This window comes from Homo sapiens, chromosome 11, assembly GCF_000001405.40.
Source record: "Homo sapiens chromosome 11, GRCh38.p14 Primary Assembly".
Lineage (NCBI taxonomy): Eukaryota > Metazoa > Chordata > Mammalia > Primates > Hominidae > Homo > Homo sapiens.
Genome location: NC_000011.10, coordinates 120077667 through 120102938, shown reverse-complemented (window position 1 = coordinate 120102938; position 25272 = coordinate 120077667). Strand labels below are relative to the sequence as shown.

General features: G+C 50.6%; 1 long non-coding RNA gene across 3 annotated transcripts, besides 2 other annotated features; it reads left to right on the top strand.

Moving 5' to 3' along the window:
* The first annotated feature begins 584 nt into the window (after positions 1-584).
* On the top strand, positions 585-24826 carry LOC105378956 (uncharacterized). 3 transcript variants are annotated; one of them, XR_001748415.1, is made up of 3 exons: positions 585-660; positions 11904-12027; positions 24084-24826. It is a non-coding gene; the product is annotated as an uncharacterized LOC105378956 (long non-coding RNA). The 3 variants fall into 3 exon arrangements; XR_948099.2 differs by lacking the exon at positions 24084-24826 and adding an exon at positions 15861-15940; XR_001748416.1 differs by lacking the exon at positions 24084-24826 and adding an exon at positions 14939-15152.
* Positions 5341-6207: an enhancer, noted in NCBI's record as "NANOG-H3K27ac-H3K4me1 hESC enhancer chr11:119967440-119968306 (GRCh37/hg19 assembly coordinates)". NCBI's record gives its function as "activates a minimal SCP1, AML or CMV promoter by ChIP-STARR-seq in naive H9 embryonic stem cells {active_cell/tissue: H9 hESC(naive)}" and the evidence as "EXISTENCE:reporter gene assay evidence [ECO:0000049][PMID:30033119]".
* Positions 20230-21429: an enhancer, noted in NCBI's record as "P300/CBP strongly-dependent group 1 enhancer chr11:119952219-119953418 (GRCh37/hg19 assembly coordinates)". NCBI's record gives its function as "activates an origin of replication core promoter dependent on BRD2, BRD4, P300/CBP, MED14 and CDK7 cofactors, with strong dependence on P300/CBP, by STARR-seq in HCT116 cells {active_cell/tissue: HCT116}" and the evidence as "EXISTENCE:reporter gene assay evidence [ECO:0000049][PMID:35650434]".
* Positions 24827-25272: the final 446 nt, after the last annotated feature.

The following is a 25272-nucleotide window of genomic DNA, read 5'->3' as shown; positions in this document are numbered from 1 at the left end:
ATTTCCTCTGCCTCCAAAACACAGCTGGGGGTCTTGGCTCTGGAATGCTAAGGTCTCAATCCTGGAGGCTGGAGAGGGCAATCCTAGCCTGTCCTGTCCAGCCTGAATTCTCAAGTGCAGGCCATCATACCGGGGCCCAGAGATGATGCTTCCTGGAGACAGAGGTGAAGCTCTAGCTGTCTGCAGGGGTTGGCCGGGACTCAGTGCTCACTCTTGCCTCAGTGGGAGTGGCAGAGGCTCATACGGTGATGTGCTCCTCCTCCCCAGTGCTCTCCAAGTCTATCCAGGCCTCACAGCCTGGAATTGGAGTCTCAGATACCGTGGTTAGGTTAGCTATGGGGCCACGATGGGCCAGCTCTGAAGTAGTGTCACTTGCAGAGCTAACCAAGCGTGAGATTGCTCAGATGGCTGGAACAAGCGAGTCCCCTGTGCATCCCTTCTCCCTTCAGCCAGCCACAGGCTCCTTTAGCTCTCACCTAGGTCCTGTTCCTGCCATAATGTGACCTGACACTGATGAGATCACAAAGCCAGTATCCATGGGTCCCACTCACTGTGGACAAGGGCTTCATCTCCCAGTGGGAAGCCTCAGTCCCTGGTCCCTGGAGAGGGGATCTGGGTCTCTCTGCATCCAGTGGGAGAGCCTGAATAGACCTGCAGGAGGTGGGTGCTCCCAGCCTCATCTGGGGGTCAGATGGGCCAGGGCTGGGGCTCTGCCTGTGTGTATGAGTGGGGGATGGGGGAGGACTTCTGTATACTGGAGTTGGAGTCAGTGGCATTGACCCTGGACCCTAGGCATCGGGGATTCTCTAGAGGGCAGAACCAGGGCCAATGGGAAGGAGTTATGATGGGAGATGGGTGGGTTTTGCTCAACAACAGTGAGATTTTTGTAGTAAATAGAAGAATCCAACAGCAGAGCAGACTGCTTTTTGAGATAGTGAGGTCCCCATCAGTGAAGGCATTCGTTCATTTATTTAACACACATTCATTGCCTACCTTGGCTCTTGACACTAGAGTTCCAGAGATGTGGGTTCAAGTTCCAGTTCTGCCACTTACGATTCCATGATCCACAGCGAATTCCTTGTGCCTCAGTTGCCTCACTTGTAAACAAGAGTAATAACAGTTCTTTACCTATCTCAGTGGGAAGGTTGAACAACTCCAAGCTCCATGACTTGCACAGGTAAACACAAAGAGCCTTGAATGTACTATTTCACAGGTGTAATTATCTCTATCCTGCAAGTGAGTTAAATAGCACATTCTCCATTACTAAATGTCTGAGTGGGAATCTGAATCCAATTCAGTCTAATTCCGAGTCATTATCTTCCCTCTGAACCATAAGGCTGGGCTCAGTTAGGTATTCAAATCTGAGCTGTGGGACTTGTATCTAGAATATATAAAGAACACTTACAACTCAATAATCAAAAAGACAAATAACTCAATTAGAATATGGGCAAAGGATCTGAATATCCATTTCTCCATGGAAGGCATACGAATGACCAAAAAGCAAATGAAAAGATGCTGCACATCATCAGGCATCAGGGAAATACAAATCAAAACCACGAGGAAATGCCACTTCACACCCAGTAAGATGGGGATAACCAAAGACAGACAATAGCCAGCACGAGGCTGTGGGGAAACCGGAGCCCTCATATACAGTTGTGTAGGAGTATAAAATGGGGCAGCCACGCTGGAACAAAGCCTGGCAGTTCCTCAAACGGCTAAACGGAGAGTCACCATAAGACCCAGCAATTCCATTCCTAGGCTGATACTCAAGAGAATTGAAAACATACATCCATGCAAAACTTGTACAAAAATGCTCAGAGCAGCATTATTGATAATAGATGAAAAGAGGAAACAATCCGAATATTCAGCTAATGAATGGATAAACAAAATATGGTCTATCCATACAGTGGAATATTATTCAGCCACAGAAAGAAATGAAGGGCTGATACATGCTACAATATGAATTAACCTTGAAAACATGATGATAAGTTGCCAGGTGCAGTGGCACGTGCCTGTGGTCCCAGCTACTCTGGAGGCTGAGGTGGGAGGATCACTTGATCCCAGGAGTTCAAGGCCACAGTGTGCTCCAGTGGCCTGTGAGTAGCCACTGTACTCCAGCCTGGGCAATATAGCAAGGCCCCATCTCTAAATAAATAAAAATAAATGATAAAATTAAAAGAAACAAGATTTAAAACATTCCACTGATTACATAATTCAATTTATATGAAAGTCCAGAATAAACAAATTTGTAGGGAGAGAAAGTAGAGTGGTGTTTGCTTAGGTCGGGAGCTGGGGTGTGGGGCAGGGGAATGGAGGAGTGATACCTAAATGGTAGAGGGTTTCTTTTTGAGATAATGAAAATGTTCTAAAATCGGCTGTGGTTATGGTTGCACATATTTGTGAATATACTAAAAACCACTGCAGTGTGTAATTTAAATGCGTGAATTGTATGGTATGTAAATTATATCTCAACAAAGCTGTTAAAAAAGAGAGAAAGAGAAGTAAACCCATAAAAAACGTGATGATGCACACCTGTAGTCCCAGCTACTCAGGAGGCTGAGGCAGGAGGATCACTTAGCCCAGGAGTGCAAGACCAGCCTAGGTTTTTTTCTAAGACCCCCATCTTGGAAAAAAACATCAAAGGCTGTGAGAGAAGTGGGCAAGGTGTGGGTGGAGATAGAGTCTGGGGAATCTTAGCACGCAGGTGCAGGGGAGACTATGGGGATGGGTGACCTTGCTTAGGAAGAATTTCCCAAGTGGGAAGATGGATGGAACCTGGAGGAATGCCTTCTAGGGGAATAGGCACTGCTTGGGTGTACCCCTGGGTGGGGTGGGGGAGAGGAGGCTGCACTAGTGTCCTCTGGCGGCACTCAGAGCCCAGCAGGAGAGGGCACAACACTAGAGGGATGTAGTGTTGGGATGAGGGAGTTCTGATCATGGCTGGGCAGGTGCCCCACCCACCTGCCAAACCACCCACACGATCCCATGGAGATGAACAGCACTTGACGCACTCCATGTCTCCCAGGAACACAGGTTTGGAGGCAGCAGAGCCAGGTCTGGACCTGGGTGTTTGCTACCTCTCTGGCTTTGGTCTCCATATCAATGGTATGAAGGCGGCGGTTTCTCCCTCACCGTGTTACGCGGCGTGAAAGTGGAAGCTGTGTCGAAAGCACACGGTGAGCATTCAGATGGGGGCCAGAATTCATCTCAGCCGGCCTTCGTCGTCACTTCAACTGTGGGTAGTTAAGCAGCATTACTTACTACGTCCCATTCCACAGATGAAGAAACAGAGAGGCTGTGTGTATTGGTGACTTTCTAAATGACACGTTGTGAACAGGGATAGGACGGGACCCTGCTCCAACCGTGTGCCCACCAGGCCATCCTTGTTGCCTCGTGCCTGATAACGAAGCAGGGCTGGAAAAGCGCTGTCAACAAATGACTTCTTTTCACCTTTAGGACAAACTTCTGCATATGTAGGCCTGGTGGCATTCCTCTCACCTTACAGGTGAGAAAACTGAGTCAAGGGACACGCCTGAGGTCCCACCGCTGACAGCGAGAGGCCAGAACTGTAACTTTCCTTCATTCAAACCTGGTACCCACATGACTCAAGCGAGGGAAAGGTCAGGGCACCCCTGCCTCCCACTGGCCTTAGAGCAGCCACACCCATGATCCTGGAACCTTCTGGACTCTGAGATGCAGCAGATCAAAGGCCTCGTGATAAAAGTGGAGACCTAGGTAGGTACTGTGGATGGGGAGGACACACAGACTGTGGTATGGGTCTAGGGGCTTGCAGACTCCATGCCATCGCCTGCAAAGCCAGGGTGGGTGACCAGGCAGCCCCTTCTGTGGATGCTCTACCTTTCCTGGAGGCTGCTGTGGGATGAAGGAAACTGGAGCTTCTCTGCCCAGGGAAGGCGGCTGCATTTCAAGCGGGAATCGTACAAGCGCTCTTGATAAACAGCAGGTAGCCCCACTCCCAGCAGCTAACAGGATTAATCTAAATGCACACAGATGCAGCTGGGCAAAATCAAAACAGAACCCAGGCTAACTTACACCGCTTAACCGGAGCCCTCAGAGCCTCAGAGTGCGTCACCTGACTGGTGCCCGGCATGGGGTGGGGATGTGGGAGGAGGCAGTGTGCGCTGATGCTTGCTTTTGAGGGGTCATGGAAGCCCTGCTGCAGTGTGGGGGTCAAGGGAGCCCTGAGGCAGGGCTGCAGGACCAGGCAATGGTGCGTCAGGGAGTCCAGGCGTTCAGGCTGCCATGGCGGGGAGCAGGGCAGTCTCTGAGGGCTTGGGGTGGCAGGTGGGGCGGTCAGCCTGGAAGTCCACAGCAGCTTCACGCTCTGGGAAAGTGGGAGAGGCCTTCAAGTGCTCCTGTTGACTCCCACTCCCACTCAATCAGCCCCGTCCAATGAAGGGTCCCATTCCAGGGACGTTCACAGGAAGGAGTGAATCCGGGGCTTTGGGTAGCTCTGGCATCCTGGGGCTCGTTCTGGCCTCCACACAGGGAAAAACAGAGGGAACACCACACCCAGACAGCTGCAGCCCCTCTCCACTCCAGCCATTGTCAGCTGCTTTTACAGTTGAGGACGTTGAGGCACAGCCAGTTTTCAGGTCATGCTCTTTGCCCTGCCCCAAGCTTCCTCCCAAATCGAGGCTCTGATGAGAAGCAAGTTCTCTGTGCTGCACCTGCCTCGGGCTCAGGTCAGTTCCACCCAAGGTCAAAGCAGAGCCTTGTTCCTCCCCAGGGCCCAGGGCCATCATCTGTGGGATCCTCCATGAACACTCTGTGGGGTCAGCTGCTGTGGGCTGGAAGGCCCCAAGGAGGAGCCTCTTGGGGGAAAGGAGAGTGGCCACGGGAATCACTTCCCCGGCCCCTCAAATGGGGCGAGAGCTGGGAGTTCATCATTGTCACCTCTTGGCCTCCAGAGTGGCCAGCAAGCCAGCAGGTGACCCCTTTTTCCTTGAACCACAGGAATGATGGTAACAATTGCTAATGTTTACTGAGCACTTTTTCACCACTAGGAACTTAGCTAAGCCCTTTGAGTCCACAATCTCCTCGAATGCATCCAGCAGCTTTAGGAGCTGAGCACTGTTTGTGGCACGATCTCCATTATACTGAGGAGGTTCTGAGGTCACACGCTGGGAACCAAACCCGGACCCCAAAGTCCTATAATGTCACCTTTCTAGGATTCAGCTCCATTCCCAGTCAGCTCCATTCCCAGGCCCTTCAGGAAGGGGTAATGGGAAGGGAACAGGTAGTGTCTGGAATCACAAGACTTGAGCTCAAGTTCCTGCTCCTTCCCACTAGCCGGTTCTATGGCCTGGGGAGCGGGGGGACCCTTTACTCTTTGAACCTGAAATTCCTGGTTTGTAAAACAAACACGGAGAAAAATCTTTGCCTTACCTGCACTGCTGCGTTGTGAGAATCAAATGAGAAAAATATATGACCATGGTTTTCATGCTGCGAGGCGCCACATAAATGTGAGTTATTACACCATGCCCCAGAGCAGGCATGTTTCTGGCTCTGTGTGATTTTTGTTGTTAAAACCGTTAGGAACGATAATTACTTAATAATGATCCTATTCCTAATCCATGCACCTCTGCATGGGGACGTCAATGCCCCTGGCATTGAGACATAATTGGTCTCTGCACAGGGCCCAAGAGCAGGGGATAGTGCTCCCTATTTTGCAGTAGGGTAAACAGGCTTCCAGCATGAGCAAAGGTATGCCCAGAGTTCCCCAGCCCTCTAGGGTGATGTTCTGGGCTTAGAATCCGGGGTTGGAGCCTTCCCCCTCCTGCTGCGAGGGCTCCCAGGCCGCCCTGAGAGTGATTTATGGCAGGAATCTGCAGTGAGTGCTGTGTCAGCGCTCCCAGCTCCCACCTTCCCGCTCTGTCTCCACCCCCCTTTATCTGCCTTCTCCCCATTTCTCCTGTGCTGCCACTCACCTCCCACAGCTCTGTCTTCCCTGGTTGCCCCTAGGCTGATCGGAGCCTAATTTCAGCTCCTTTCTGGGGCTGAGGAGCTCGCACTGAGCTGTCAAGAGCGGCTGGGGAATTTGAAGCGGGAGGCCCATGGGGGAAAGCGAGGAGGGAGGAGTCCCTGTCCTTTGTCCCAGGCCATCAGCCCTGAGGCCCTTCAGGTCCTCTTTCTGGAAAGGGTCAAAAGGGTACCTGAGGCAGAAAGGCCAAGTCACCTCTTTGCATTCATGTAACCTGTGTGTGGCAGAAACTGCATTTGAGCCTAGGTCTGCGGAATGCACAGGCCCACATGTGTGTCCCACACCCAGGATCATTAAAGCCCAGCACCAGGGCTGTGGGCAGAGCTGTCCCCTCAGGGCCATGCAGACCCCTTCACAGAGATCCTGGTGCTTTGCCACAGCATCTCAGATTTCAAATCCTACTGGGAAGGAAATTCGGGGGGAGTGTGCCAGGGCCAGGAGGGCAGGAGCAGACATCGGAGCCTCCTTCCTGAGCTTTGATCCAGGCTGGTAAGGTGTCAGACCAAGGGCTTCTGGGGAGGCGTTAAACAGAGCCTGTGAGTGGGCACCGCCCAGGCAAACAGCATGTCACCAAATAGTGAAAACCACACAGTTGAACATGAAATTTGTGAAAGCCTAGGATTTGTTGTATTGCTAACTCATTTTTGAACATGCATAAAATGGAAACTCAGAGAGGCTGTTTAACTTGCCCAAGGTAACACAGTACCCTCCTGGCACAGAAGCTGGTGTGTGGGTCATTCTCTGGCCAGTTGCTGGCTATGCTTCCCCTCCTTCCTCACCCCTTCCAGCATCCAGAATCCCAGGAGGCTGCTCTGCCCTCGGCTTCTGGGGTGGGCCAAATTCAGAGTGACCACACTCAAGGCCACTGCTCAGCCTCCCTCCCTGGCTGCTCAGGGCCATGGGCTGCTCCTCCCTCTGCACCCAGGACCTGCGTGGCCTGGGGAGGCTGGCGAGGACCTGAAATCACTATCTAACTCTCATTTCTGGGACCAGAGTGTCAAGTGGGTACTTTGGAGGCACTGGTGGGTACAGAAGGAACTTGGGGGAGCTGAAACAGGACTCTGAGATTTAAGGTGCTCCAAGGGAGAGCAGGTACAGAATGGAAGGGGCAGCTGTGATCTTTGGGTCACCAGTTGCAGCCTCTCAACCCCTCTTTTGGCCTTTCCCTAAATTCAGGGACAATGAAACACTAGGGCACTGGGCCAGTGGGGCCACCTGACTCTCCAAGGCCGGATCCTCCTGTGCTGACTCTGACAAGCCCAGCTGAGGAGGCTGGCACTGGCAGATTTTCCATCCTGTAGACAAACTTGTTATTTACGTTGATTGGCGTGTGATTTACAGCTAATTTGTTAATCAACCACAGCCTATGAAACATGGGTGAGGCTGCTTCTCCATAATGATCCACCAAGATCCTGTTCTGAGAGGCTGGCCCAGGCAGGCTGTGGGGAACCAGGTTGGTGATGTGGGCCTGGGAAGGGGTGCACTTGCACTCAGGAATCCCCATCAACCCTCACTGCCCCCATATGAAGCTGCTTCCTCTGGCTCTCCTGGATTTCCACCACGCCCTCCCTCACCCCATACCCATATCTTAAGGCCACTCTTGCTCTAGGACAGCAGCTACCAGTGCCTTGGGCATCTCATCTCACCCCTCTGAGCCTCGGTTTCCCCATTTTTTGGTAGAGGTAGCTTCCTGATCTCTGAGTGAGGAAGATGGGTAATTTCCATGAAGGCACTGTACTCGTCAGGGTGGTGTTAGAGCTGGCATTTATGGGCTCACGAGAGTCGAGCATTAAACCTTCAGTGATTTTGTGAGCTGGTTGATAAACATAGCCATTATTAGAAATTACATTATATAAACTACAATTAAATAAGTTATATTAAACATCAAGGTAATAAATACTCAAAACTCATTACTTCCTAATTATTTTACTACATTTTACTATCTAGGCTTGAGATTATTTCCATCTCTGGTATCTGTCTGGTGGAGAGGCTGTACGATGCCATGCCAGCAAGCATCTCTTCCCAGTGCCACACGCAATGATGTCAGCTTGAAATGAGCCAGGGTGGGAATATTCACAATATGGAATTGACAAAGACTCTAAATCAGGGTTTCATTCATTGTTCTGTTCTTTATCCAGACTTTAAAAAGCGATGGAGGGGCGGGGCATGGTGCTTCACACCTGTAATCTCAGCGCTTTGGGAGGCTGAAGCGGGCGGATCACCTGAGGTCAGGATTTTGAAACCAACCTGCTAACATGGTGAAACGGTGTCTCTACCAAAAATACAAAAATTAGCCAGGTGTGGTGGCGCATGCCTATAATTCCGGCTACTTGGGAGGCTGAGGCAGGAGAATCGCTTGAACCCGGGAGGTGGAGGTTGCAGTGAGCCGAGATCACACCACTGCACTCCAGCCTGGGTGACAGAGTGAGAGTCCATCTCAAAAAAAAAAAAAAAAAAAAAAAAGATGGAGAATATCTTAATGATGCAGATTAAACTTAAAAGTGTGCTGTGTCTGTGGCTATTACACATTAATGAAAAATGAGGAAATATTCTTGCAGTAAGTGAAACTAATATCTGATGCCACAAAGAAGTCATTCACATCGTTGATGAACAAGGGAAGTTTCAACAAATAGTTTTGTCATTTCACTTTTTTTCTTTTTTGTTTTTTTGAGATGGAGTTTTGCTCTTGTTGCCCAGGATGGAGTGCAATGGTGTGATCTTGGCTCATTGCAACCTCTGCCTCCCGGGTTCAAGGAATTTTTCTGCCTCAGCCTCCTGAGTAGCTGGGATTACAGGTGCCTGCCACCATGCCCAGCTAATTTTTTTTTTTTTTTTTGTATTTTTAGTAGAAACGGTGTTTCACCATGTTGGTCAGGCTGGTCTTCAAATCCTGACCTCATGAACTGCCCGTCTCGGCCTCCCAAAGTGCTAGGATTACAGGCATGAGCCACCATGCCCGGCCCATTTCACTTTTTTTTTTTTAAAAACCCATTAATGGAAATGAAAATATCAACCAACATTCCTGTGGGTATTACACTGGCTTGTCAATTGCGATCATAGGCTGGCTGCAAATACAGGAGTTCTGCAAAAATCAACTAAAGCATTCTGTGAGAATCAGTTGTTTATATGGAATTTATGATAAAGGATCATATATATTTTATTATTATTTGTAAGATATATGCCACACATTCTTTAGACCTGTAAAATTACACATATACATTCACGTTTTTCCCAGAGAGCCAGCTGTTAAAGATTTGCCAGCACACCACCGACTGTACTCATGGGAGAGACAATTATCCTTTTCCTCTTGAGCCCCTGCTTCAGCTCTAGGACTTATATGATGTCATCAGCCCTTAATGGCTCACCCAGATATTGGGGAAGGAGCTAGAACTTGTCCTTCTCATCATCCTTTCCAGCCCCCACCAGAGCAAAGACTATCCCTCGCTGCGAGTAGGCATTTCCCCCTGGGGTCCCAGCAAAGAAAGTGTCTTTAGGACACTTCCCTGGGCAGAGAGCAGAAGGGCCCAGAACCCTGGAACTTGTCTGCGAAGCTCTGGGGCGTCTCCATCTTTGCTTGACTCCATCCAGAGTCTGAGCCCTGGCATCACCTTGGGTGGGGGCACCAGGCCTCTGGTCTGGATTTTGACAAGAGCCTCCTAACTGGCCTCCCTGCTTCTATTCTTGCCTGCTTTACAACGTGTTCTCCACATGCTCCCAGAGGGATCCTTTTTTTTTTTTTAATTTTAAAAATTGTTTATTTTTTTAAACTGGAGATGAGGTCTCACTCTGTTGCCCAGGCTGGAGTGCAGTGGTACAATCATGGCTCATCATAGACTGTTACCCCTGGGCTTAAGCGATCCTCCTACCTTGGCCTCCTGGGTAGCTGAGACCACAGGTGTGCACCACCACACTCAATTTCAGAGGGATCCTTTTAAAACCTAAATCAGGCCGGGCTCGGTGGCTCAGGCCTGTAATCCCAGCACTTTGGGAGCCTGAGGTGGGCAGATCATGAGGTCAGGAGATCAAGACCATTCTGGCTAACATCGAACCCCGTCTCTACTAAAGATACAAAACATTAGCTGGGCATGGTGGCACACACCTGTAGTCCCAGCTACTCAGGAGGCTGAGGCAGGAGAATCAATTGAACCCAGGAGGCGGAGCTTGCAGTGAATTGAGACCACACACTGCACTCCAGCCTGGGTGACAGAACAAGACTCTGTCTCAAAAAAACAAAACAAAACAAAAAAAACAAAAAACCTAAATCAGATTGTGCTACTCCTCAGCCAGAAACCCTGCAAAAGCCCCCCGCTGGGTGTCCCCTCAGGCCTCGGGCTACCTCATTCCCATGTCTTAGGGCTCTGCCCTTCCCTCTGCTCCCTCTCTGCACCAGCCACACTGGCCTCTGCAGTTCCAGGCATCTCCCTTCTCAGAGCCTTTGCTCTGGTTATGCCCTCAGTTTGGGTTAATCTTCACCCAAATACCTGCTTGGCTCATTCCCTCACCTCCTTCAAATCTTCATGCAAATCTCACCTCCCTACAGAGGCCTGTCCTCAATTCCCTTCAACACTATTCCCCCACTCCAACGCACCTAATCACCCAATGCTGATCTACTTTCTGTTTGTTCTTAGTCTTTCTCGCCTCATAATAGACTAATTTTCTTATTATCTTTGCAATGGAATCTGAGCTCCATGAGGGCAAGGATTTTGGTCTATTTCGTTCCCTGATACACCCATACACCAAAAGCCTGGCACATGCTGGGTGTCAATAAATATTTTTGAAGAAATGCTTTGGGGAAGGAAGGGCAGCTTATAGAGAGGAGCATATGTGGAAGAGCAGGAAACACTTTCTTTCTCTATTGGTGCCGGGGTGGGAGGAGGCCAGCCTTCTCAGCCGGTTTCCCAGCTCGTCTCCTGCTCAGAGCCTCTGGGGCCCTGTATTAGTCAAGGCTCTCTGGAGAAACAGAACCAATGGGATGTGTGTATATATATGTATTAAGAAAGATTTATTTAAGGAATTAGCTCATGCAATTTTGGGGGTCAACAAATCCCAAGATCTGCAGCCAGCAGGCTCAAGACCAGGAAAAGGTGACGTTCCAGTTCAAGTGAAGAAACTACCAATGTCCCAGCTTGAAGACAGTCAGGCAGGAGGAATTCCCTCTTAATTTTGGGAGGGTCAGCATTTTTGTTCTATTCAGGACTTCAACCGATTGGATAAGGGCCACCTAGATTAGGGAGGGCCATGTGCCTTCTTTAGCAGCGATTCGAATGTTAATCTCATTGAGAAACACTCTTGCAGACACACAGAGTAATTATTGACCAAAAGTCTGAGCACCTTGTGGCTGAGTAGAGTTGACATAAAATTCACGACTGCAAGCGCTTTGCCTGGCGCAGCCCTCACAGAGCAGGTTCAGGGACAGGTGACCTTTCACCAAGGAACAGTGCTCTATCAAGGTGGCCTGTTAGCACCACTCTTTCTCTTCTCCTGCTCTCCACGGGCCTGGAACCTGGGTAGAAGGAGAGGGAAGGTGGCCTAGAATGATCTTTGAGGCCTTGGCTCAGCCTTTGTTTTCTCATCTGTAATATGAACTTAAAAAAGTATCCCTTATCTTACAGTCATAAGGCTGAAATGAGAAAATGCTTTGGCAAACAGAATGCATTTTGCAAGCCTGAGGTATTAATCTTGCAAGCTACTCACTCCTACACTTCTCTGGCAAGTGTCTATCCACAACAAGGAAAGGGTTAAACCTGCCTTCTTATTTGTACAGTTTCTCATGTCCCTAGGAGGAGCAAAGAACAAGGCTTATAAATAGGACCAGGGTCTTTGCAAACAACAGTAGCAACAACACATTTGTCTGAGAGGCTAGGTTGAGAATTGGTGCTTGCTCCATCTTATGCCCTAGAGACAAATCTCGGACTGCTGAATTTCTCCACTCTCATGGCATTGCCCATCAAGAGGGATTGCAGTTCTGAACATGATGGATCAGATGCAATATGAGGTGCTTCATGTCTGCAGGCCTGTCCCAGGTGAGTTCTGCGCAGGTATGTCTGAAAGCCAGAGGATGAATGGGAGACCCGAGATCCTAAATGCTCAAAGAATGTATGTTCTCAGTGGTGCTTCCCACCATCCTCAGCACATCATCCCTTCCTCCTGGCCCTGTGGGGTTGGGAAGCAGAAATAGAAGGCACTTTCCTTTGTCCAGACCTTTTTTCTGGCTCCTCCACCCAGTCACTGGCAGAGCCAAAGTTCAGGTAGAAACTTGTCCAGCTGGATTGCCAAAACACCAGTGCCATCCGCTGCCCACCTGTGAAAGCTGCCTGGCAAGATGGAGTATGGATGCCTGTGCCATGATACCGGGTGACGAGAGGCACAGGGTGTTCCCAGCACAGGGGCCTATCATGGAGACAAATGACTGATGGAAACCTGCATTGATTGGGGCAGGGAAGTGTCTGTCCACCTGTCCCTGCCAACAGCAGAGAGCAAGGACTCACCCAATCCTTGTTCTCTGGGAGGGCCACACCCCATTACCCATCCTTGGATACTGTCTGTGTTGGGGCTTCACTTCAGAGGTGGATATGAAGCTGCTTGGTTTCATCTCGCAGTTGAGGTGAGGCTGATTCATTCATTCGATAGTTATTTACTGAGAGTCTATTCTGTGCCTGTCTATTGGCACTGTTTTCAATCTGGGAATCCAAGAACAAACAATATAGACAAGGTCACTTCTGTCATGGAACTTACATTCTAGTTGGGGAGACAACAGCACACATGTGAACACATGTAAAGAGGAGGAAAATGGCCCAGGTCTGGGCCTTGGATCAATCACTGACTAGCTGTATGACCTTGGGCAAGTTATTTAACTGCTCTCAACCTCAGTTTTCTCATATTTAAAGTCGGGAGGATAATAACAACATTGATGTCATAGGGTTGTTGTGAGAATTATTTGAAAGTATATGAAGGACACAGTAGAGTGCTTGGCTCACAGCAGATATTCCCATGTGCACATGTACCCATTGTTGTTATTGCTGTTGTTATAGTTAACATCACTTACCTAGAAATAGAATCAGAAGAGACCAAAATGCCATATTCTTTCTTTCAGTGAAGTGACACCCAGGAAGGGGTGAGCCACAAGCCATGTCTGTACAGCATCACAAGCTTTTAGTTGGTAAAACATCAATTCAGCCAACTCCTTGTGTGTTTGGTCAACAAAGGCTTTAACAACTGACTTGTTGTTGTTGTTTTTTTTTTTCATTGGTGAGATCAGGTGGTTGTTTGAATTGGATGAACCAACTGATTGTTCTAATTGAATGAATCAATTCATTGTTCTAATGTCATGGTGACCCAAACTAAGATTGGTTACAATTTTATCTAAGGCCCTGGGTGCTTTCTCTTTCACAACGAGCCTTTTGGCCTGGTTCTGTCTTAGTTTTATAGCTGTTAAAAATACGTGATTGAGTGTGAGGATGCACGTGTGTACATGTGTGCACATACACACATATATACACAGAAGACATGCCAACCCATCACTATCCCTGCTGAGTTGAGACCAAGAGAATGCGAACTTTATATTTTGCCAAAAGCTTTTACCTCTTCTCAGCCAGTTTTTTTTTTTTTTCCAGAGCAGAAGCCAAAGAGCCAAATGGCATAGTCTGAATGTGGTCACTTTCCTGCCAGCCACTGGGCCAGACTCTGGCTGTTGGCACAGGGTTCTGCTGCCTGTTGTGAGCTAGCATCAGCTCTGCCTGGCATGGAAAAGGGAGAGTTGGCATTGTCAGCCTGTAGGTGCTTGTGGGGAGAGGTAGAGGATGTTGGTTACTGGCAGGCAAACCTGTTGCCACTAAAACTTGGCACGTCTGGGCGGCTTCAGCAGTCCAGAGAGAGAATTAGCAGGGAGGAAGAGCTCCACAGAAGTGCCCGTCTGGCTCCTTGGTACTGTCCACGGAAAGAGATTTCTTCCTTGGTAGAGAACTTGGTACCTTGCAGAGGCAAATATATTCATAGTAGGGTAAGTCTATAAGTCTAACCATAATCCTAGGATGACTCTGACCCCATCATCTAGGAGAGGTCTCCTAGGGTTCTTTTTGTCCTATGTGTGGGGAATACACACATAAACACACACACACACACACACACACACACACACACACACACATTTTAGATGGAATTTTGCTCTTGTTGCCCAGGCTGGAGTGCAGTGGTGCCATCTCAGCTCGCTGCAACCTCTGCTTCCTGAGTTCAAGCGATTCTCCTGTCCCAACCTCCCAAGTAGCTGGGATTACAGGTGCACGCCACCATGCCCAGCTAATTTTTATATTTTTTATTAGAGACGGGGTTTCACCATGTTGCCAGGCTGGTCTCAAACTCCTGATCTCAAAGTGATCCGCCCACCTTGGCTTCCTAAAGTGCTGGGATTACAGGCATGAGCCACCGTGCCCGGCCCCAGGACTTATATTTTCTAAGTGTTTCCTGTAGAAGAAATAAATGCTGCTTCTGAGCTCTTGGAAATTGGTGAGCTAGTAGTGTCTTGAAAATTTCTCCTGTCTGCTCTGGGAGCATCATCTCCCACTGTCACCCCAAGCCCTTGATGGAGTCCATAAGGGCTCTGCTTCCCTGGGCCAGGAGACAGGCTGCATACCCAAGCACCTTTCCTTCCACATGCAGACAGCCCGAGAGCTCTGCCTGAGGAGCCAGGAGACCAGGATCCCAGGGTCAACACTGCCTTTTACAAGCTGTGGGACAGAGACAAGTTGCTTAACTTCCCCAGGCCTCAGTTCCCAGCTGCCCTACCTAAAGTGGTGAGGAGTAAATGAAATACTACAGGTGGAAGCAAACTGTAAATCGATGAACTTCAAACACATGCAAGGGGTTACATTATGCTCTCCACACAACCCTCCCGCCAGATGAGCTCCCTGGGATGACTTTCTCATCCTGTCTTTTTAGAAAGCTGCTTACTTGGATAAAGCTCTCAGGAGATGCAAGATGTTCATCCCGAGGGAACCTCCACTGCCTCCTGGCCTATCTGCCTGATCCATAGATTTTTCTCCACCCTGAAGCTCTAGGTCTTCTCCAAAGCTAGTCCCTGAGCAAGCGCAGACTTCAGCAGGGGAAGGGAGAGCCAGAACAACTACAGAAAAAGATTAGGGTCTCTTTCTATTCCTTTCTTGGTTTCCTGTTCTGAGATGGGTGAGCAGCCTGATTTATTTTTGACAAATGTATCTGCATTATGAATTATATTGGGGATGGAATTGTTACATTAAATCAAAGTTAATTTTTGACTTCTGTTCAGGGCGCCATAAATAATCAACTCCAGGGTAAAGTTATGGACTGAAGTCGCCCAAATTATGCTAATGAGGATGATTAAACTTTGGAATTCTAAGTTTCTGTAAGAATAACAATCAGTTAGCATTTACATTTCTGCCATGCCCTAGGATCTGCTGCTTTCTCTGAAGCTGCTATTAAATATAAATAATAATACCATTTTTTAAAGTCAAGTTGAGCCCTTTGGGGCATATTCTATTCACTTTCCTGGTGCTCAGCTTCTGCAGATGTGTCTGAGGCAACCAGAGAAGGAAGGGAGGGTGGCACAGAGTCCGCAGAAAATGCATTTGCGTTTGCCTTAGAACTGCAAAGGGATTTTCAAGTTCTAACAGAGACAATAATTAAATTTTGCCTTGGTCCATTTGGTGAGGAATGCCAGGAAGCCCTGTTGAGCTTTAGAAGTGCTACCCTCAGTAAGCCGGCAATGACTTCCAAGGGATTTTGAATTTAGGATGGGGTAGCAATTCTTAGCCTTTTCTGCTGACATGCTGTGTGTCTTTGGGTCCGTTGCATTAACTTTCTGTGCTCTGTTGTCCCTCCACAGGCTCTGGAGACCTTATAGAGGATGCTGCTGAATTCCCTAGCTTGGCTTATGGAGGAGCAAAAAGATTCAGTTGATTTCTAACCTCATGTTTAGCCACCTGTTATCAAAGCCTGCCCTGAGAGATGTTCATCTCCCAATGTCTATGTAGGGCCCAGGCGGCTGCAATCGAAATGACAGGTCAGCTCAGAGGTTAGGTTGCTGGCTGAGTGGCTATTGTTTTCCCAGTTTCAATTTCATTGTCATGACAACCCACACAAGTCATTGTCCCGGCTGATGCCTCTGTGTGAGGGTGTGTGAGGAACGCGTTTCGTCCCAGCTCGCTCTGCTTGACGGACGAAGAGCCATCACTGATCTCAGGTGGCTGCTCCTTTCTTTCCTCCATGTGTTCACAGTGTTCTTATTTTCTCCACCACTTACCCAGAAATTGTTTTTGAAAAGTGTCTCATTTCAACTGAATTTGGCGCAGAGCAATTGGGAACATTGCTCGGCTGGGATTTGCTCTCTCTCCTCAGCAGTTTTGCAGGCCGTATCTCACTCCTGTGGGCTTCCAGAACTGCTGGGACCCCTGGCTGAGATCAAGAGGGGCAGTAGATGGGAACCTGCCTGTTTCACACTCGGATCATCCAAGGGAAGACACGAACGTTCTGCACACACAACATGGTGTAAGCGCAACACGTGCCTTAACGTGTCTTCCAAGCTGTGTGGGACCCCCTCCTTGAAAATTTCAAGAGACAGATGGCTGGTGTTTCTGTTGTGCTCCATGGCTCTGAGAAATCCTGTGTCTGTGTAGGGCTGTGGAGATGCCAGCTCTGGATGGTAACATCGGTGAGCCTGGAAGGCTTTACCTTGGAAGCATGGGGCCTGTGTCTATTGAACTCCTCTTTTGGGTCCTCCAGCACTTGATGACTCTGAGAACACATGCTCCTTTACTTCAGGAGGCAGCCTCAAAAGTGGACTGTCCTTCTTCATTTTGGCACGGTGGTGATTCCATCGGGAGGGGCTTTGGGCCAGGTTTGTCCTGCTGTGGAGGCCCACAGGCAGGTCAAGCACTGAGAAACCCTGCCTGGCCTGGCAAGCCTTCTTCTCCTGAGGATGGCTTCTCCTGTGGCTACAGGATCATCTATGTTGGTCAAACAGATGGCTAAGTGGCCTGAAATAATGGTACAAGACGTTTTTAAAAGATATTGGGATTGCTTTGACTGAAAGAGAGGATGTGAGGGACTGGAGTGTCATTAAGAGTCTCAAAATCAAGGAAGGTTTTTATGGAGACAGGTTGAGCACTGCTGTGGGAAATGCTGGGGTGTGACAGGTGGGTCACTGCCGTGGGAAATGCCGAGGTGAGGCAGGTGGACCACAGCCGTGGGAAATGCCGAGGTGAGGCAGGTGGACCACTGTTGTGGGAAATGCCGAGGTGAGGCAGGTGGACCACTGTTGTGGGAAATGCCAAGGTGAGGCAGGTGGACCACTGTTGTGGGAAATGCCGAGGTGAGGCAGGTGGACCACTGTTGTGGGAAATGCTGGGGTGAGGCAGGTGGATCACTGCCATGGGAAATGCCGAGGTGAGGCAGGTGGATCACTGTTGTGGGAAATGCTGGGGTGAGGCAGGTGGACCACTGTTGTGGGAAATGCCGAGGTGAGGCAGGTGGACCACTGTTGTGGGAAATGCCGAGGTGAGGCAGGTGGATCACTGCTATGGGAAATGCCGAGGTGAGGCAGGTGGACCACTGTTGTGGGAAATGCCGAGGTGAGGCAGGTGGACCACTGTTGTGGGAAATGCCGAGGTGAGGTAGGTGGATCACTGTTGTGGGAAATGCCGAGGTGAGGCAGGTGGATCACTGTTGTGGGAAATGCCGGGGTGAGGCAGGTGGATCACTGCTATGGGAAATGCCGAGGTGAGGCAGGTGGACCACTGTTGTGGGAAATGCCGAGGTGAGGCAGGTGGATCACTGCCGTGGGAAATGCCGAGGTGAGGCAGGTGGACCACTGTTGTGGGAAATGCCGAGGTGAGGCAGGTGGACCACTGTTGTGGGAAATGCCGGGGTGAGGTAGGTGGATCACTGTTGTGGGAAATGCCGGGGTGAGGCAGGTGGATCACTGCCGTGGGAAATGCCGAGGTGAGGCAGGTGGACCACTGTTGTGGGAAATGCCGGGGTGAGGCAGGTGGACCACTGTTGTGGGAAATGCCGAGGTGAGGCAGGTGGACCACTGTTGTGGGAAATGCCGAGGTGAGGTAGGTGGATCACTGTTGTGGGAAATGCCGAGGTGAGGCAGGTGGATCACTGTTGTGGGAAATGCCGGGGTGAGGCAGGTGGATCACTGCTATGGGAAATGCCGAGGTGAGGCAGGTGGACCACTGTTGTGGGAAATGCCGAGGTGAGGCAGGTGGATCACTGCCGTGGGAAATGCCGAGGTGAGGCAGGTGGACCACTGTTGTGGGAAATGCCGGGGTGAGGTAGGTGGATCACTGTTGTGGGAAATGCCGGGGTGAGGCAGGTGGATCACTGCCGTGGGAAATGCCGAGGTGAGGCAGGTGGACCACTGCCGTGGGAAATGCCGGGGTGAGGCAGGTGGACCACTGTTGTGGGAAATGCCGAGGTGAGGCAGGTGGACCACTGTTGTGGGAAATGCCGAGGTGAGGCAGGTGGACCACTGTTGTGGGAAATGCCGGGGTGAGGCAGGTGGATCACTGCCGTGGGAAATGCTGAGGTGAGGCAGGTGGACCACTGTTGTGGGAAATGCCAAGGTGAGGCAGGTGGATCACTGCCGTGGGAAATGCCGAGGTGAGGCAGGTGGAGCACTGTTGTGGGAAATGCCGAGGTGAAGCAGGTGGATCACTGCCGTGGGAAATGCCGAGATGAGGCAGGTGGATCACTGTTGTGGGAAATGCCGAGGTGAGGCAGGTGGACCACTGTTGTGGGAAATGCCGAGGTGAGGCAGGTGGATCACTGTTGTGGGAAATGCCGAGGTGAGGCAGGTGGATCACTGTTGTGGGAAATGCGGAGCTGAGGCAGGTGGACCACTGTAGTGGGAAATGCCGAGGTGAGGCAGGTGGACCACTGTTGTGGGAAATGCCGAGGTGAGGCAGGTGGACCACTGTTGTGGGAAATGCCAAGGTGAGGTAGGTGGATCACTGTTGTGGGAAATGATGGGGTGAGGCAGGATCACTATTGTGGGAAATGCGGGGGTGAGGCAGGTGGATCACTGTTGTGGGAAATGCCGAGGTGAGGCAGGTGGACCACTGTTGTGGGAAATGCCGAGGTGAGGCAGGTGTATCACTGTTGTGGGAAATGATGGCGTGAGGCAGGATCACTGTTGTGGGAAATGCCGAGGTGAGGCAGGTGGATCACTGCCGTGGGAAATGCCGAGGTGAGGCAGGTGGATCACTGCCGTGGGAAATGCCGAGGTGAGGCAGGATCACTGTTGTGGGAAATGCCGAGGTGAGGCAGGTGGATCACTGCCATGGGAAATGCTGGGGTGAGGCAGGTGAATCACTGCCGTGGGAAATGCCGAGGTGAGGCAAGTGGATCACTGTTTTGGGAAATGCTGAGCTGAGGCAGGTGGATCACTGCTGTTGGAAATGTCGGGGTGAGGCAGGTGGATCACTGTTGTGGGAAATGCTGAGGTGAGGCAGGTGGATCACTGTTATGGGAAATGCTGGGGTGAGGCAGGTGGATCACTGCTATGGGAAATGCCGAGGTGACGCAGGTGGATCACTGTTGTGGGAAATGCCGAGGTGACGCAGGTGGATCACTGTTGTGGGAAATGCTGGGGTGAGGCAGGTGGATCACTGCTATGGGAAATGCCGAGGTGAGGCAGGTGGATCACTGTTGTGGGAAATGCCGAGGTGAGGCAGATGGATCACTGTTGTGGGAAATGCTGGGGTGAGGCAGGTGGATCACTGCTATGGGAAATGCCGAGGTGAGGCAGGTGGACCACTGTTGTGGGAAATGCCGAGGTGAGGCAGGTGTATCACTGTTGTGGGAAATGATGGCGTGAGGCAGGATCACTGTTGTGGGAAATGCCGAGGTGAGGCAGGTGGATCACTGCCGTGGGAAATGCCGAGGTGAGGCAGGTGGATCACTGCCGTGGGAAATGCCGAGGTGAGGCAGGATCACTGTTGTGGGAAATGCCGAGGTGAGGCAGGTGGATCACTGCCATGGGAAATGCTGGGGTGAGGCAGGTGAATCACTGCCGTGGGAAATGCCGAGGTGAGGCAAGTGGATCACTGTTTTGGGAAATGCTGAGCTGAGGCAGGTGGATCACTGCTGTTGGAAATGTCGGGGTGAGGCAGGTGGATCACTGTTGTGGGAAATGCTGAGGTGAGGCAGGTGGATCACTGTTATGGGAAATGCTGGGGTGAGGCAGGTGGATCACTGCTATGGGAAATGCCGAGGTGACGCAGGTGGATCACTGTTGTGGGAAATGCCGAGGTGACGCAGGTGGATCACTGTTGTGGGAAATGCTGGGGTGAGGCAGGTGGATCACTGCTATGGGAAATGCCGAGGTGAGGCAGGTGGATCACTGTTGTGGGAAATGCCGAGGTGAGGCAGATGGATCACTGTTGTGGGAAATGCTGGGGTGAGGCAGGTGGATCACTGCTATGGGAAATGCCGAGGTGAGGCAGGTGGACCACTGTTGTGGGAAATGCCTAGGTGAGGCAGGTAGATCACTGCCGTGGGAAATGCCGAGGTGAGGCAAGTGGATCACTGTTGTGGGAAATGCCAAGGTGAGGCAGGTGGACCACTGTTGTGGGAAATGCCGAGGTGAGGCAGGTGGATCACTGTTGTGGGAAATGCTGAGCTGAGGCCGGTGGATCACTGACGTGGCAAATGCCGAAGTGAGGCAGGTGGATCACTGTTGTGGGAAATGCTGATGTGAGGCAGGTGGATCACCGCCATGGGAAATGCTGAGGTGAGGCAGATGGACCACTGTTGTGGGAAATGCCGAGGTGAGGCAGGTGGATCACTGCCGTGGGAAATGCCGAGGTGAGGCAGGTGGATCACTGCCGTGGGAAATGCCGAGGTGAGGCAGGTGGATCACTGCCGTGGGAAATGCCGAGGTGAGGCAGGATCACTGTTGTGGGAAATGCCGAGGTGAGGCAGGTGGATCACTGCCATGGGAAATGCTGGGGTGAGGCAGGTGAATCACTGCCGTGGGAAATGCCGAGGTGAGGCAAGTGGATCACTGTTTTGGGAAATGCTGAGCTGAGGCAGGTGGATCACTGCTGTTGGAAATGTCGGGGTGAGGCAGGTGGATCACTGTTGTGGGAAATGCTGAGGTGAGGCAGGTGGATCACTGACGTGGGAAATGCCGAGGTGAGGCAGGTGGGTCACTGTTGTGGGAAATGCTGGGGTGAGGCAGGTGGATCACTGTTGTGGGAAATGCTGGGGTGAGGCAGGTGGATCACTGCCATGGGTAATGCTGAGGTGAGCCAGGTCGATCACTGTTGTGGGAAATGCTGGGGTGAGGCAGGTGGATCACTGCCGTGGGAAATGCCGAGGTGAGGCAGGTGGATCACTGCCGTGGGAAATGCCGAGGTGAGGCAGGTGGATCACTGTTGTGGGAAATGCTGGGGTGAGGCAGGTGGATCACTGCCATGGGAAATGCCGAGGTGAGGCAGGTGGATCACTGCCATGGGAAATGCTGAGGTGAGGCAGGTGGATCACTGTTGTGCAAAATGCTGGGTTGAGGCAGGTGGATCACTGTTGTGGGAAATGCTGGGGTGAGGCAGGTGGATCACTGTTGTGGGAAATGCTGGGGTGAGGCAGGTGGATCACTGCCGTGGGAAATGCTGGGGTGAGGCAGGTGGATCACTGCCGTGGGAAATGCTGGGATGAGGCAGGTGGATCACTGTTGTGAGAAATGCTGGGGTGAGGCAGGTGGATCACTGCCGAGGGAAATGCTGAGGTGAGGCAGGTGTATCGCTGCTGTGGAAAATGCTGAGCTGAGGCCCATGTGCATGGCCCCTATTGTCATGGTGGGGGTGGCGGGGAGACACAGAGTTGAGCCAGGCAATGGGAAAGAGCAGAAAGCAGATATGAGAGTCTAGAGCCAGGGCTGAGCCAGCAGAACTGGGAGCAGGAGCGCTGTTAGAAGGTGGTTTGATCTGCGGCTCAGGCCGACTGAGTTGGTCAACACTAAGAGCCAGGAGGCTTCACCTTCTTCACCTTTATTCATTCAACAGACATTTTTGGAGTATTTGCTACATGCCAGGTACCATTCTAGGGGCTCATCAGTCAGTGGTGAGTGAAACAGACAAAAATCCCAACCCCAACAGGCTTTTACCTTCTAGTGGAGGCAGCCAGGCAATAAGCAGATCACTTAGACACTCAGGTTGCCAGATGGTTCCAAGTTCTGTTAGGAGAGGGGCATAGGGATGGTGGGGGTGCTACAGTTTAAAACAGAGGGGTCAGATTAGCCTTTGTGAGATGATGCTCTAGCAAAAAACTAACAGGGGGAGGGCTGGGGTCATGGGGACACCTGGGGGAAGATCAAGGCAGAAGGAGCAGCTAGGGCAGCACCCATGGGCCTGGTGTGCTGGAGACCAGGGAGGGGCCTGTAAGGCTGGAATGGGGTGACCGAGAGGCGACCTCAGGGATGAGGTCTGAGGTGCCAGAAACGAGAGCACGCTGGGCCTTGCAATCTTTGTAAGCGCTTTCTAGGTGGAATGGGAGGCCGCAGGAGGGGATGGAACAGAGCAGGGATATCACCTACAGGCTCTTACAGGATCCCTCTGGCGGCTGTTATGAGAATATGTTAAATTTGAGATGATCTGCTTAGATTAAGTCCTGACTCTGCCATTGTCACTGGGCTGAGAAGGTCTACATGACTACCAGACTATCTCAACTCTACTGGGATTTGAACATCTTTAGGAAAATGTTGAATTGAATGTGTCACAAATTCGTCAAAATGAGCAAAGTTATAAAGAGGCAGACTCAGCTCAAAGTGAATATGACCTTGCCCCACTGCCCTCCCTGGCGTTAGGGACACCAAACACTGCCAAATCCAACCCCTGGCTCCCATCCTAGTCAAATTCTTCCAGGTCCCTGGAGCTTTTCTTGGGGCTCCAGAGCCCCCCAGCCACCTGCTGCGGGCTTACCATGCAGCTCTCCACTCCACCACGAGGGGGCCTCGCTCAGGCCACTGTGCCACCCACCACCATCTGCTAGCTTCCCGCCTTTGCTTTTCCCTCCTGCCCACCGGTGGCTCTCCGGGGAGCGTCTTCTGCCGGCCCTCTTCCGAACTGAAGGAATCTGTGCAAAACCTCCTGGTGCCTAACTCAGATCTGCTCAAGCTCCAGCAACTCCAGCTCCCTGACATTAGCTGGGCCTCCATGCCTCTTGGAGTATCCCAACCCGAGATTAGCATTACCTATCTTCTCCCTGGTTTCTCTTGGGAGTTTTCATTCAAGAGTCCCAAGACCTGCCCATCAGACCTAAGAATGCTCCTCATTGCTTCTCCCATGATCCCCAAACCAGGAAGGCTGGTGATAAGCCCCAGGGCCGTGTCGCTCTTCTGCAGCCTCCCTCTCTAGGAGGAGGAAGGTACAGGAGGTAGAACAGTTCACACTCCTTCTTTCCAGCAGATTGGCCGTGGGAGTCTCAATGTTGTGAGAGGGGCTGAGCCTATGTGCCCCCCACAGTCCTTCCCCCTTCAACATTTACAGCGTCTGTGTGATGTCACTTGTTGGTGTCCAATGAATGGGAACTGATTGTCTTGTTTTGCAGGGGTGGGTCTGGAGGTGTCTTTAGGGACACTCCTAGCTGAGTTTTTTCCACACCACTGACAACCATGCTTTGTGAGTTACCAACTGAGGAGAGATCTGAACTGGCAGAATCAAAGGACATGGGTTTAGGAAAGTATCCAAATTACATTGAGGGCGGTCCCACTGCTGTTCCAAACAGTCAAATACCCCCTTTTGATTGAATAGGCTTGTTATTAAAAATGCATTTAAGAAAATGAAATCAAAAGCAAATCCCTTCAAATAAAATTTCAGCCTTGTCTAAAATCCAGGGGTTTATTTGAAAGTTCCATCTTCTCACACTTTGCACAGAGCTGTGCTGGAGAGATCATAGCCCTCTGTCCCCTGAGCATGATGAACCAGGAAGGTAGATATCAATCAGGTTTCCTGAAATCTGTGCAGAATGCTCCTTCCTTAGTTATTTTCTGGGTACTGACATGGGGGAGGTGATTGCCTAAATTGTGTTGCACGTCACTCCACAGAAATTCTCATATCCTGTAAGGACTGAAGCTTGAACTGATATGGAACCCATGACTCAGTAGCAGTTGACTGCTAGCCCCTCCTGGGCTTCTACTCCTTTGTCCGTTGCATCCCCTAAACTCAGCCCACCTGATTACTTCATATCTGTTGGCGGATTGACTCCCTCCCTCCAGACCACTTTCAATAAGAAGATCTTCCTTATTTGGCTAGGAACAAACACCACGTGGCTTCCCTATGACCTGTATGCTGCCTTGATCTTCTACCCTTGGAAGAAACAGAAGGAGTGAGAGAGTTATGTCAGCCAGGACAGCATTAACTTTAATCCTACTTAATTCCAGCTCCACGATGAAAGCCTAACTTTGAGACTTGATTGAGGTGAGTTTAGGTCAAATAAGAGGAGGTTTCATTCAGCCACATCGTCATTTATTCAGCCAACATTCACAGAGCCAGGCACAGAGCTTGGGGCTGGGAGTCAGAGGAACAATACTTGGTCCCTGCCCTTGAGGGAGACAAACAGAAGCAAATAGGAAATAACTGCAACATAGGCAATGAATTCTGAAGTGAAAGGAAGCAGGAACCCACGCTGGGGAGAGTCACTGATGGACAGTTGTAACTTTTAGGGAGGGGACACAGAGGCAAGGAGAAGGCAGAAGAAACTGACTCGAGTTGGATTTTAAAGGCTGAGTAATAAACTCACAAAAGTAAAATTATGGGGCCGGGCGCAGTGGCTCATGCATGTAATCCCAGCACTTTGGGATGCTGAGGTGGGCAGATCACCTGAGGTCAGGAGTTTGAGAACAACCTGGCCAACATGGTGAAACCCCGTCTATCCTAAAAATACCAAAAAAGAAAAAAATAGCTGGACGTGGTGGCACACACCTGTGGTCCCAGCTACTCAGAAGGCTGAGGCAAGAGAATCACTTGAACCTGGGTGGTGGAGGTTGGCAGTGAGCCAAGATCGTGCCACTGCACTCCAGCCTGGGTGAAAGAATGAGATTCCGTTTCTCTCTCTTTCTGTGTGTGTGTGTGTGTGTGTGTGTGTGTGTGTGTGTGTGTATAGTAAAATTACGGAGTTCATGACCTCCTGGAGAGATGACTAGCAGGAATTGCAATGGATTCTGAAAAGATTTGGAGAATGTGGATATCATGGGACGAAGCCAAGACTTGCACCTGGAGATGAAGGTTCAAGCT